We start from the raw sequence: 14,347 nt of genomic DNA, 5'->3' as shown, positions 1-14,347 counted from the left end.
TTTATTTTTATCATTCAGTGAAGGGACTGTCTGCAGAGCTTCTCTACTATAAAATTATCTTTCTCTTTATAATTAATAAATATTTCGGGGAAGATACTTTGAGATTATGGAAATACTCTGCTTCTCCTCAGATTTGGGCCACTAATATTTGCATCCACCAGTGGATCTTATTTATCACAATTATTACTACAATATTTGCTTAATGGTGATTTTTCTATTTTCCCTTTTTCCTTCATGAACTGTTTGGTAAGAAACAGCTGTCCCTTCTCCTACATTTATTTATTTATTTATCCAGTTGTTTATTTATATCTATGGGCTCATGGATATTTATTTTACCATACAGGTTAAAATCCAGTACTATCATTAATAATTTTGTTGCTAAAATTATTCTAGCTTTGTCCAATAGGTTGGTTGGCTCTTGTGTTCTTTTTTTTTTTCCTTTTATTTTTATTTTATTTTTTTGAGACAACATCTCACTCTGTCACCCAGGTTGGAGCACAGTGGGGCAATCTCAGCTCACTGCAGCCTCCATCTCCCAGGCTCAAGCAATCCTCCCACCTCAGCCTCCCAAGTAGCTGCAACTACAGGTGTGCACTGCACCACCATGCCCAGCACATTTTTGTATTTGTGTGGGTTTTTTTTTTCTTTTTTGGTAGAGATGGGGTTTTGCCACACTGCCCCAGCTGGTCTCAAACTCCTAGGATCAAGCTCAAGCAATCTGCCCGCCTTGGCCTTCCAAAGTGCTGGGATTACATGTGAGAACTACCACGGCAGGCCTTTTGTGTTCTTTTGACAAGCCCTATCTTTTTGTGAGTATCTCCTTATTTTCTGGCTCTACAAGGTGCTCCAGGCTCATTTTGTATTTTCCCCTTTCCAGGACTGGAATTATTTGTCTAATGATCTCTGGTTTCTTGATTGGACAATGGTGTATAGAAGCTCAATCCTGGTGCCAGAATTGCTCATTGTGGCCAGGGTTCCATTGCTTCTAGGCCCTCCAAGAGCACAGAGCAAGGAAATGTAGGTATGTACACTCATCCGTGGATCTCTATTCCTCTATCAGTAGGCGCTTATATTAAATACCAAGAATTTATTCTGATGCTTCTGATTCTAATCCAACATCACAGGGTATATTTCAGTCCTTCCTCATTTGTAACTTTATTCTTGAACAGTAATATTATTGATAATATATTTACTCATTTGTTTAATTCTACAATGCACATAAAGTGCTTTCAGAATTGCCAACCCATACCCCTGTGAGACACACATTAGCAAAATCAGAACACAATAATTATTTCTGTCCTTAGCATAAGCGCATCCAGTTAAGATGCTGTGTTCCAAAGTACTTAGATTAATTCTTTTCTTCCTCACCCCTTCAGTGTGGTTATTATTCATTCGTAATACAGTTAGATTCAGCTGTTGAAGGTTTGAGAAATGGTGTTTTGTTCCCCCTGTCTTCCCATTGAACACTTTTGAGCAATTAAAAGCTAATATCTGGGTAAAATCAGGGAAATGTTTTACTAGCATACTAGGCTTTAAATAATTCAATTAAGGTTTGGCATAAACATCTTAAAACTGTACAGAAAGTATATGAGTTTTTATGGTGCCCTGATTTAACAGGATTCTTCAAGCAAAAATTTATATTGCCTTTCTGCACAACTTCCAAATTTTAAAGTGTACTTTGAGGCAAAGCGGGGAGAAAGAAAGCAAATGACAGAAAAGGTGGTCTTGTTCCTATGATAATATTCCCAATCTGGAATATTGAGCACTAAAATTAACAATGTGTTTTGGGCTTTTGGTGGTGATGGCACCATCCTTTCATAACTTTACCTTCCAGAGAAACTAAAAAATTTAGGATCCTGGATGCAAGTCTCTGGATAAAATCCCACTGTTATCTGAAGGTGGTCACGGGGGACCCCTGACACACCACCATAACTGGCTTTAGGAGCTCAGCATCCTTTCATCCTGCCACACACCAATATGTGGAAGCTGCCCTCCAGCAGGAACCAAGGTGGTCTCATAGGAGATAGGACTCCCCTGTCCACCAATGGGAGACTTCAAAGGCAGATGTGCTTTTAAAAGGCAATGGTTGTTCAGATCTCAGAAAAATGATAAGTCTTGTGAAACTTTCTTCTGTTAAAAGTCTGTTTTGGGTCCAGGCGTGGTGGCTCACATCTGTAGTTCTAGCACTTTGAGAGGCCAAGGCGGGAGGATCACTTGAGGTCAGGAGTTTGAGACCAGCCTGGCCAACATGGTGAAACCCCATCTTGACTAAATACAAAAATACAAAAATTAGCCAGGTGTGATGGCGTGCACTTGTAGTCCCAGCTACTCAGGAGGGTGAGGTGGGAGAATCACTTGAACCCAGGAGGCAGAGGTTGCAGTGAGCTGAGATCACGCCATTGCACTCCAGCCTAGGCAACAGAGTGAGACTCTGTTTCCACACACAAACACACAAAAGTCTGTTTTAGAGTCCAAAGGTCATTAATTTCTTAGGGAGTTTCTACACCAGTTATAATATTTGAAATCAAGCCAGCAGAAAGGCAAATATCTTCTGCCTTAATATGGCATCCCCCCCATGCCCAATTTTTCGTTGTATAAGCCTTTGCTGGAATATTCAATTTACCTCAACTTTATGCTCCCACTGAGGCTGTGAGTAAATCCTGAAAATTGAAAGTGTTCACAATATGAAACCATGACTGGCCCTCTTTCTATGAGCTAAAAATTGACCCGGTAGACATTACTAGTGCTGCCAATACTTCCAACCCTCTATCCCATCATAGAGGATTCCATCTCCCTGCCCTTTCAGGTTAGGCATGCCTCTGTGTCTCTTCCAGCCAGAAACACTGAAGAACCAGGGCACAATTCACTACAAGTTGACAGGGGGCTGCCTCAAGATCAAAGCAGCCTGAAATGCTGAGTCACTACATGGAAGAGAGTTTGCTGGACTCTCAGTGTTCTTCCTGGGAGCAAAAAGTAAGCCTCTGCTATGTTAAACCACTGAGATTTTTGGTGCTGCTTGTTACTGCAGCATAACTTAGTTTATCCTGACTGATATACACAAGGTCATATCTTGAATTTTGTTACTCTGTTACAACTTGTACCAGAACAGAGTTAAATAGAGTGGCAGCATTTGCAATTACATATCAAACAAGAGAAGATAAAGTTGAGACATTCTATTTCAATGCATGTTTAGGCTGTAAGGAAAGAAAAATAGCTAGAATAAAATGTCTGACATCATTGAGTTAGAATGTCTTTGCCCTTCCTCCATATTTCAAGTTCTGGCAAGAATATATTCATTCCTCATCTCTTTGAAGAGATGATGTTTCACAGAGGCAAAGACTATCCAAATGCCAATATATGTTTTAGATAGCTTATCATTTTTAAAAGGAAGCCTTTAAAAAGCAAAAATATTAGCCAAATATGGTAATGTTATTTTAATATATTTCTTTCTGATGAGGTAATCTGCCTATATCATTGAGGCACATTTTTTATAAACACTTTATTTAGCTATTTCTAAAAACTCTTAAGAGAAATACTGCAAATCAGTGTAGTTCAAACATTTGTTGAGTATCTGCTATATGCCAGTAATACAGTAATTGTATGCACTAAGTGTGGTTTGAGCATGAAGACAGGCCTCTAACTAAAGATGAGAACAGCAGGGAAGGCTTTCTGGAGGGGTGGCTTCTGGAGCCTGAGCTATGCCATGTCTAAAACTGAGTACTTCCAAAGAGAGGCCAATTCTTAAAGAAGTATTGGATAGAGTACACTATCCTGGGGAGGAAAAAATAATCACTACAGTTTCAGATTGAAAACAAGACAAATAAATGAGTCTGAGCCCCGCAGACTATCCTGCTTTCCAAGGAAAAAAGTTCTTAGTGAAAACAGAGCATTCCCGTGGGCCTCTGGGTGAGTACAGGAACACATGTATTTAGTGGTGGCACTGCCATCGACCTATGACACAACTCCAGGCAAAACACAGCCTCACTGAACAATCTCAAACTTCTTAATAACAAATGTTCTTGTAGTCCCACCTAATACATATAATAAATCTTCTTGCTCTTCCCTGGCCTGTTAATTAATTATAACACCTCTTATCTTTAAAACACTTCCCACTCTCAAAATGAACATTCCAACAAGAGAACTCTAAATATCAAATTTCAGCAAAGGGAAAGTTTAGGTTTCCACATTTTCTATTAGAACATTAATCGAGGCTGGGTGTAGTGGCTCACGCCTGTAATCCCAGCACTTTGGGAGGCTAAGGCAAGAGCATCGCTTGAGCCCAGGAGTTTAAGACCAGTCTGGGCAACATGGCAAAACCCCATCTCTAAAAAAATTTAAAAATTAGCCAGGCTTGGTGGTGTGCATGCACCTATAGTCCTAACTACTCGGTAGCTGAGGTGGGAGGATAGCTTGAGCCCAGGAGGTTGAAGCTACAGTGAGCCAAGATTGCACCACTGCAGTCCAGCCTGGGTGACAGAGTGAGACTCTGCCTCCAAAAAACAAAAAAAAAAAAAAAAGGAGAAGGAAAAGAAAATTAATTGACTAATATTTACATAGTATTAGGCATCCTGTATCATATAAATTCATAGTAATGAATATTTAAATAATAGACTTCTTCATTTTTCTTTTGTAAGCTAAAATCGTTCCTGCTACCCTTTGAAACTTTGGGATAAGACATATGCACAAAATTTAACAAGACTGAAGGGAGAAAATGCTTTTGTGGACTACCACAGCCAGGAAAGGAAAGGAAGGGTAACCAAATACCACCTAGCTTTGCAATAGAAGTGTCGTGTCGTGGGGTAAGGTTTAACTAGGCTAAAGGAATAGAAAAGGGTATGTCAAATGGGGAATTGTTCCAGAAACAGTGAAGACAACACAAGAGGGCAGAGGGAAGGCCAGAATGCTTGGAGCAGAGTGTTCACGTTAAAGAAAAGGTGAACAAGCTCCATGAGGTCTCCATGTTACCTTGTATCTGCAGAAACATGCTTAGCCACATAGTACACGTTCAATATATTTTTGCTGATTGACAGACAGAGGCCCTGAGTGTTAGCATATGAACTTAACTTCATTCTGAAAGCAATGGGACCAATTCAGATTTCTGAGAAGGTGATGCAAAGATGGAAGCTTTACCTTTTGGAAGATGCATCGGGTGGCAATAGTAGCAGGAGTCTCAGATAAAATATTTATACATAAAAAGGTATAAACATGTTCTAGCTCACAACAATTGCCACAGTAGGAAAGGCACAGTTTATAGCTATTAAGGAAATCCAGAGTTAACATTTCAAGTCCCAGGGAATGTCAGCTTTTCATTCCATACTTTCCATAAATTCCATTCTCTGTTTGTTTTTTTTTTGATTCCTGAATTTCCCTTTTAAAAGTGCAGCAGGCCATGACTCTGGGATGTCCCGTCCTGTGACTTGGCTGAGAAACTGCTAATATCAGATGCTTTCCCTTAAGCACATTTCTGAGATTCAGCTGGAATATGAATGAACAGATGCCAAATGAGCTGGGGTTTTAGGGTCTCTAACATTGACCGGGGCATATAGTTCTGAGTTTGCATCACATCTAAGGAAAGCTAGATTAGACAAAGGCATTTTTTCTAATAGCAGAAGTTCATGGTAAAAAACTGATCCAGACTGTTAAAATGAATACTGCCTGCATGCATGGATTGCTTCCGGACTGGAAATGAAATATGTTTTCTCTTTTTCCAACTGGTGATTCACACTGCAACCTTAATAGCTTTTCTCTAATGATGATGCATTCTGAATAGAAACATTGCTAAAGAGTATTTTTAGCATCCATAAAATGTATACTTCATTTAGATCCAATTCTATAAAATAGCTCCAATCTGATACAACAGGAATGCAAACTCTCAACATGTTAATTACATTCTTCAATATTTATCATTTTCTTCAACTCTCCCTTACGTGTCCCCTTTCAGAATATAGGACTTTGTTTACTCGCAGTACATATCAAATAAAAATACAGAGAAAAGTTCTCAATGACTAATTATGTTGATAAAGTTAAAAGCATTCTAAACTGAAAATACAAATTAAGAAAAACATGCTGTTAGTTAAGCATTGTTTAAAACCATTTTTTGGAACACAAATCTTTGTTGAAAGTCGTATTGGAGTCACATAAGCCAAAAAGTCAACCTAAGAAGTTCAGAAATCAGATGCTCAAAAGTCCTTGAAGGCTGTTTTGAGAGTGCAGGACTGACTGTTTTCAGTTGCAGAAATCACGTCTCCATATGCAAATATGTCTCTGAAGGGGTTTTTTCAAATAATGCAACACATCCGTATTTGGAATCTTTGTATTTGCATACAACCACATGCCAAAACCCCTGCAAAATTAAGACTCCATTCTCACAAAGCTTGTTTTTAGACACTGTAAGGGAAAAAGGAAAGATGTCTCTTTCTTTCTACAAAGCATGCAAAAAATTAGACAATTTTTTAAAAGAACTTTTAAGGTTAAAGACATTTTTAATTCCAAAAGAGTAAAACAAAAGTCAAAATTATAAGTTAGATCTATTCTTCATACCAGACTGTTAGCATTAACACTTACTAGTTAATATATTTTATAAGAAATAGTTCTTATTCATACTTAAGCTCATGTGTATGTTTTACCCCATGCCTGAGTAGGACTCATAACTGCGGAGGGCTGTGTGTGACTTCTCAGGTGCCCCTCTGTCTGTCCTGCTCTCTTAATCCTAGACACAGGTAGGAACCTAACATTAACTACCTCTGGGAGATAATTCACCCTCAACACCAAGGTTTCAGTCAGAAGCTATGTAATTTCATTCCCAGGTGAATATCAATACTATTTCCCCACACATTCTTCCCTTGTTAAACTTTTATAGGTCTGTTGCCTACACTAAATTGGAAAATTCTTACAAGCAGGGACTAGGACATTGTATTTACAGTGCTTTATCAAAGATTCTGCCCAACAAGGTTTTTAATAGACAACCCAACAAGGTTTTTAATAGACATTTGTTGATTCATTAATTTATTCAGAATGTACATATTTACTGAGTGCCTGCTCTGTGCCAAGTACAATTTTCGATGCTAAGAGAGTCAGCAGGAAACAAAGGAAGGAAATATCCCTGCTCCCTTGAAGCTTATTTCTAGATGAAGAATAAACAAATAAACATATATATGTTTACATATATATATAGTTTATTTTATATATACATAGAGATACTTACATACATAAAGTATGTGAGAGGTGATAAATGATATAGAGAAAAATAAAGTGGAAAAGAGGCATAAGAGAGTGGTGGGGGGGGGTGTCAATTTTAAAAGAGTGGCCATGGCCAGGTGTGGTGGCTCACACCTGTAATCCCAGCACTTTGGGAGGCCGAGGTGGGTGGATCACCTAAGGCCAGAAGTTCGAGACCAGCCTGGCCCACATAGTTAAACCCCGTCTCTACTAAAAATACAAAAAATTAGCCTGGTTTTGTGGTAGGCGCCTGTAATCCCACTCGGGATGCTGAGGCAGGAGAATCTCTTGAACCCGGGAGGTAGAGGTTGCAGAGAGCCAAGATTGCACCATTGCACTCCAGGCTGTGCAACAAAAGCGAAACTCCGTCTTAAAAAAACAAAACAAAACAAAAGAGTGGTCAGAGTAGGTAATAGTTAAACAAAAACATGAAGGAAGTGAAGAAGCAAGCCTACAGGTTACTGGCAGGAAGAACGTTCCTTGCGTGTTCAAGGAACAAGGAGGCTAATGTGGTTGGAGTCAAGCAAACAAGAGGGAGAAGAAAGTGAGAAAAGCCACACAGGACTTCAGGGTTTGCTCTGACTGGCCTGGGAAGCCGCCAGAGGGTTCTGAATAGGGCAATGATAGCATATGCTTTACAGGCATCACAGGCTTGCCGACTGCTGGGCTGAAAAGACACTCAAGGAGGTCAAGGGCAGTAGCAGGGAGTCTGAGCCCAGTCAGCCAACTGCTAAAATAGTAGAGGTGGGAACCGATGGTGGTTGGTGCCAAGATGGTTACGGTGGCAGTGGTAAGAAATGGTCAGATTATTAGACAGATCCTGAAGGCACAGTCAGCAGCATTATTTACTGAGAGATAGGATGTGGTTTGTGAGAGAAAGTGACAAGTCACAAAAGGCTAATATTTTTGGCCTGAACAAATGAAGAATGGAACTGCCATTACTGAGATGGGAAAACTTTGGGAGGGCTGGGGGAGCATTTCTGAGCTGTTAAATTGGAGATGTCTGTCAAATAGGCAAATAGATGGATGAAGATGACATTCCAGAGGGAGACTTGGGCTAGAAATTTGGGAGTAGTATATAGATTGAATTTACGTGAATTTAGCAGATAAACAGAAGAGACAAGGTCCATGGACTAAGCCCAGGGGCACGCTAAGACATTGAGATAAATCTATAAGAAGAGAAGAAATCAAGGAGCATGTAATTTTTTTTTTTTTTTTTTTGAGAGGAGTCTCGCTCTGTCGCCCAGTCTGGAGTACGGTAGTGTGATCCCGGCTCACTGCAACCTTGGCCTCCCAGGTTCAAGGGATTCTCCTGCCTCAGCCTCCCAAGTAGCTGAGATTACAGGCACCTGCCACCACGCCCGGCTAATCTTTTGCATTTTTAGTAGAGACGGGGTTTCACCATGTTGTCCAGGCTGGTCTCGGACTCCTGACCACAAGCAATCCACCCGCCTCAGCCTCCCAAAGTGCTGGGATTACCGGCGTGAACCACCGCGTCCGGCAGGGGCATGTAACGTTCTAGAGCGGAGAAAGCACTTCAAGAAGAAAGGAGAAAGGAGTGATCAACTATATCAAATAAGATCAAAACTTTGAACCAACCATTGGATTTAGCTGTAGTGACTTCAGATGACAGGACTTTCAATGGAGCGGTGGGAGGTGAAACCCTGACTGGAGGGGTTCAAGGAAAAATGGAGGACCTGGAGTATAAATAGCCCTTTTGAGGAATATTACCACAAAGAGGAACAGAGCAGTGGGGTGTTAGCTTAGAGAAGTGAGAGCTAGACATAACATTGTCTAACTAACTTGTGACAGAAATAACACAGTGGTCAAAAAACCAGGCTTACCTGGGAGCGGTGGCTCACATCTGTAATCCCAGCACTTTGGGAGGCTGAAGCAGGAGGATTGCTAGAGCCCAGGAGTTTGAGACCAGCCTGGCCCCATCCATACAAAAACTTCGCCAGGTGTGGTGGCATGTGCCTGCAGTCCCAGCTATTTGGGAGTCTGAGGTGGGAAGGATCACTTGAGCCTGGGAGGTCGAGGCTGCAGTGAGTTGTGATTGTGCCACTGCACTTCACCCTGGATGACAGAGTGAGATCCCGTCTCCAAAACAACAACAGCAACACAAAAAAAGCAGGCTCTACTGCATATGGTGACTTCCTTCCAAAAAGTAAGAAACAGAAAGAGAGGGAAGTGAAGTAATTTTACAGGGCAGATATCTGACAGATGCCATCTCAGCCATGGTTAACATAAGCAGTGATAACTCCTGTAAATAGTACCGACCCTGGATACAGGTCAGTACTTTATGGTTTTCCTCCCCCAAATCCATAACCTCAGTCTGATCATGAGAAAAACATCAGACAAATCGCAGTTGAGGAACAGTCTACAAAATAGTGGATAAGTTCCAACCAATACTCCTCAAAACGAGGAAAGTCTGAGAAACCATCACAGCCAAGAAGAGCCAGAGGATACGACAAATAAATGTAATGTGGTATCCTGAATGGGATCCTGGAACAGAGAAAGGACATCGGGTAAAAGCAAAGGAAGTCTGAATAAAGCATGGACTTTAGTTAATAATAATGTGTCAATATTGTAATGAATGCAGCACACTCATGCAAGATGTTAATAATGGGAAACTGGGTGCGGAGTGTACTAAGGATGTAGAGTATCTGGGAACTCTTCCTACTATCTGCTAAACTTTTCCATAAATTTAAAACTGTTCTTAAAAAAATACATCTAGGCCAGGCGCGGTGGCTCACGCCTGTAATCCCAGCACTTTAGGAGGCTGAGGCAGGCAGATCACCTGAGGTCGGGAGTTCGAGACCAGCCTGACCAACATGGAGAAACCCTGTCTCTACTAAAAATACAAAAAAAAATTAAGCCGGGCATGGTGGTGCATGCCTGTAATCCCAGCTACTCGGGAGGCTGAGATAGGAGAATCATTTGAACCCGGGAGGCGGAGGTTGCGGTAAACTGAGATTGCGCCATTGCACTCCAGCCTAGGCAACAAGAGCGAAACTCCATCTCAAAAAAAAGATAATAATAACATAAAAAAACACATCTATTTAAAATTTAGAAAGAAAAGAAAAGAAAAAAAGAACATAGAATATGCAGTCTGATCATCTGGTTAGAATCTTAGTGTGCCATTTAGAAGACTGTGACTCAAGGCAAGTTACTTAAATTCTCTGAGAATCAGTTCACCTATCTATAAAATGGAAATAGGAAGAGTGTCTACCTGATAGAATTGTTGTAATAAGTAAATGAGATAATCCATGTAAAATGCTTACCACAATGGCCAATAGTAAGCCTTGACAGGAGGTAGCTTTATTATTATTACTACTATTATTTTGAATCTTTATTGAATATACAAATGCACACTTAATGTGATTTTACATTTAATTTTTAAAGTAATTATTAATGATTTATATAATAATTTCCCTTTTCTTTCTTGAGAGGAAGAAAATTGAATACAGCCTATTATATATCATTTGCAAAAAGCGTTTCTCAGTACATCGTAAGTGTTGAGAGGTTTTTACGGTGTCAGCTGCTCCAAATAATTTAATTTAAATACCAATCTATGGTAATGTAATCAGATGAGTTGTCTCCAGAGGTTCTGTATGTACTACGTTATCATGTCTGTAACGTAAACAACATATTTCATTTGGGCTTTTGGGCTCTTGCTTTCACTAAAAGCCATAAAGTCATCAATGATAACCACAGAATATATTATCTTGTGATTACATTATTTTTAATAACAATACTTGACAAAAGTGATTTGAAGAGTACTATGTAGAATATGTTTAAAAATAAAAGTAATTAAATGAAGTAATGAAAGAATGTAGTAAAATATCTGTTATATGAAGACACTATTAAAAAAGAGAATTTGGCCTAAGCAATGGCTTACCAATCAGGTTGTGCCTCAGACTCACTCCTGGGGCTTGACAAAAAATGAAAGAAGCTGGACCCTCAACCCAGACTTCCTGAATCAGCAGCTCTAGGAGTGGGACCTGCATCTGTGTATTTAAAAGACTGCATAGGTGATTTGTGTTTGTGAATGACTGGCTTACCTTATCCTGCACACACTGGTCATATCATATAGGCTGCTATATGAGCTGCCTTTGTAAACATAACCTGACACTCACCGTCATCAAGAATCACGATCGGCTCGAGAGAGCTTTACTTAGTATATTACAGTTGTTTTCTACATTTAAGCTTGGGCTGTCAGCTGTCCTGAGCATACAAAGGACTGCCTCTTTGATTCAGTCCTCTGTCACTCTCCTTCCCCTCTCGAAGGTCAAGTTTTCCCTACCTGCACCTCTTCCCCTCTTTCTCCCTTCGCTGTGCCCACAGGAAAACTCGGCATGTTTAGCACAGGCAGTTGCCTCAACACCCTGAACTGGGCTAGCCTTGCCTTCTTGCTGAGCCAAGAACTTGTGCAGCACCTGGTCAGGGCCAGCTCAGTAGTCCAGGCAGTCAGTAGGCATGACCACCTGCACAATGAATTACAGCTGAAGTATCATGGAGTAAACATTTTAGACCCTTTCCCTGTGAGAGAATGAATACACAAAGGGACAATGGCCAGCTTATATATAAAAATAGAACTCTGCAGGCAATGTACATCAACCAGTCCAAGAAACCAACCTACCGTCTACAGTATCTAACAAGTTAAACTATCAGTAACTGGGTTAAACTGTAGCAACTAGCCCAGGCAGCCAAACAAGAACCCCTGTAGCAACCTGTCTCAAATGGCCAGGACTTGAATAATTACTGACCACTTCCTCAATTTTTGCTCCTACTTCCAACTTAGGGCCAACCAGAGAAAGCCAATTATGTACCCCTAAACAAACACACAAAATACCCCCTTTTAGGTAGCTCAACTACAGCTTCCCCATATCAACAGCCTCCAATCAGGACACAGCTGAAGCCTTCTTCTCCCACCCTCCTCCATCCTCTGTCTGCTTTTGAGTCTCTGCCAAACACAAGCAATGGTGCTGGCTCCCTTGCTTTGAAAAAAATAGCTTTTGTTTGTTCTCATTTGGGTGGTCCTCATTCATTTTCACCACTAGGAAAATAGGGCTGCATGCTTGAAATGGATCACTGAATTGTTCTTTGATGCCAGAAATGTCTGTACTTTAGGGAGGCTGTTAGATGTGGCCAGAAAGAACACAGCAGTAAGGGGAGAAGTGTAGAGTAGCTGGGGTTAAGGACATAAGCCTTGGATCCAGACTACCATGGTTCAGATCCTGGCTCTTCCATTTCCAGCTGGTGAACCTGAACAAGTTACTTAACCAATTTGTACCAGTTTCCTGACCTGTTAAAAAAACACTGGCGATGATAATGACTCACAGAGTAATTGGAGAAGTTATATGAGACAAGCCATGTAAAGCATGAATATCTGGATTTCAATGCTATCAACAGAAAGAGAGAGAATAATCTGCCTCACTAATTTACCACACCCACCTGGCCCCATTCACCAACATTAAACTGGACTAAAAACACTTTTCTTTCTCAAAGTCAGTAACTCTAGGAAATCAACGGGTATAAATACTGTCCACGCCAAAATCCATCTCAAAAAGATCTGATGGGGAAGTGACCTTATCCCTCAAAATCCCTCAAATGCACACTGGAAATCTCGTTTTCTAGAAATCAGACTTTTTTTTTTTTCTTAAGGGCCATAACTTAAAATTACAGAGCTTAAAATATATAAACATTTTTTGTATAACCAGAAGCCCATTGCTACAATTCAAAGACTGTCACCATACTGTTCATCAGTAACAAAGAAAACTCTCCTCTTAGGCCTTCTGCTAGTCCTGGTAAGAAAAATCCTATTTCAGACCATTAAAGCTAAGTTATTTTGACATAATCATGATTCTTTTCAATAAACATTAAACATGACATTGTGGAATATCAAATCTAACCAAAAATGCCTGTACTTAACAAAACGAAGATTTTTGTCCGAATTATCTCTGGCTACACTCAACACTTCCAGCAGGCAGTTGCTCAACTTTCCAATGTCTGCATAAAATACAGTTCTGAAGCCAATTTTTTTAGATTAAAATAAAAAGCCACCCTTTAGCATAAACCTTCATTCAACGAAATTGGGTAAATAAGATTTAATTAAGAAAATTAGGAGCCGCGTTCATTGCAAACCGTAGTTTACTTTAGCATTTCACTTGTAATTAAGTTAGGGGCTTAGGGATGCATTGAAAACACCAAAGGATAAGTATCTCAAAGTTCTAAAAATGTCTCAATACTAAAATGATGTTCTGGGGTGATTTTGCAAGGACCAGAAGACATCATACATTGCGAACCCAGTGAGGGTGGCATCGCGGACGAACAGAAGATGCTTTCACGCTGGTTATCTGTCTTTCCCAGGCCTCGGCTCCCTTGACTTTGCAGCGATACCCAAAATTCTTTGAAAGAGAAGGGAGGGAAGGCATCTGGGTCCCAGGGAGTCTCTGCATCCAACCCAGGAAAGGAGGGGGCCGGCTCCCTGGCGGGAACTTCCCGGAGGCCGCGCCAGCCCCGCGAGGGACCCCAGCCATGCAGGGCGACGCCGAGCGGGCCCCGCGGCGCGCTGGGCTCCCCCGCCGCCCCCGGCCGGTCCCCGCCGACTCACCCAGGCCGCGCCAGCCCAGCGCGCCGTCGCAGCTGTCCAGAACAGCGCAGAGCTCTCCGAGCAGCGCGGGCGGCAGGTCGAACAGCAGCGTGTGCGCCGACAGCGCGCCGCGGGCCCCACAGTTCCCCGCCATGGCTCGGCTGCCCGAGCCCCGGGGACGAGGCGGAGTCCAGGTCCCTGCACGCCTGCGACAGGCCGTTACACAACCGCGGAAATCCTGCTTCCACGACGGCAGCAGAGCCCTAGGAACACGCCGTTCTCCGGTCACTGCAGGGGCGGTGCCCACGTGACGCAAGGCGCGCCTCGCCCGAGATGCCCCTGCGTCCGCCTGGCCAGGCCTGGGGGTTACCCGACCCGGGTTCTCCCTTCGCTGGCTTTGCGCCCCTTCACACCTCTGCGGTGGGGACGGAGCTGCCGAGACAAGCAGAGTGCGAACTGGAGAAAGCCCAGAGCTCAGAGCTCCCAGGAGCCCACCGTGCCCCACGGCTAGGCGGTCTCCTGGTGTGGACGGCT

At 41.8% G+C, this 14,347-nt stretch overlaps 1 protein-coding gene across 2 annotated transcripts in view, besides 2 other annotated features; it reads right to left on the bottom strand.

The window, feature by feature from the left end:
• The window catches only part of IRAK3 (interleukin 1 receptor associated kinase 3), a 65,409-nt gene extending 51,356 nt beyond the window's left edge, over positions 1-14,053 (bottom strand). For both annotated transcript variants that reach the window (NM_007199.3, NM_001142523.2), the window contains exon 1: positions 13,835-14,053. In NM_007199.3, the coding sequence (NP_009130.2) occupies positions 13,835-13,967 (133 nt within the window). In that variant the 5' untranslated portion in view covers positions 13,968-14,053. The remainder of the gene's footprint in view (positions 1-13,834) is intronic.
• Positions 13,719-13,878: a silencer, noted in NCBI's record as "silent region_4636". NCBI's record gives its function as "represses an Ori minimal core promoter by ATAC-STARR-seq in GM12878 lymphoblastoid cells {active_cell/tissue: GM12878}" and the evidence as "EXISTENCE:reporter gene assay evidence [ECO:0000049][PMID:35858748]".
• Positions 13,899-13,948: a silencer, noted in NCBI's record as "silent region_4635". NCBI's record gives its function as "represses an Ori minimal core promoter by ATAC-STARR-seq in GM12878 lymphoblastoid cells {active_cell/tissue: GM12878}" and the evidence as "EXISTENCE:reporter gene assay evidence [ECO:0000049][PMID:35858748]".

This window comes from Homo sapiens, chromosome 12, assembly GCF_000001405.40.
Source record: "Homo sapiens chromosome 12, GRCh38.p14 Primary Assembly".
Classification (NCBI taxonomy): Eukaryota; Metazoa; Chordata; class Mammalia; order Primates; family Hominidae; genus Homo; species Homo sapiens.
Note: the sequence above shows the minus strand (reverse complement) of the source record. Positions and strands in the feature narration are given on the sequence as shown.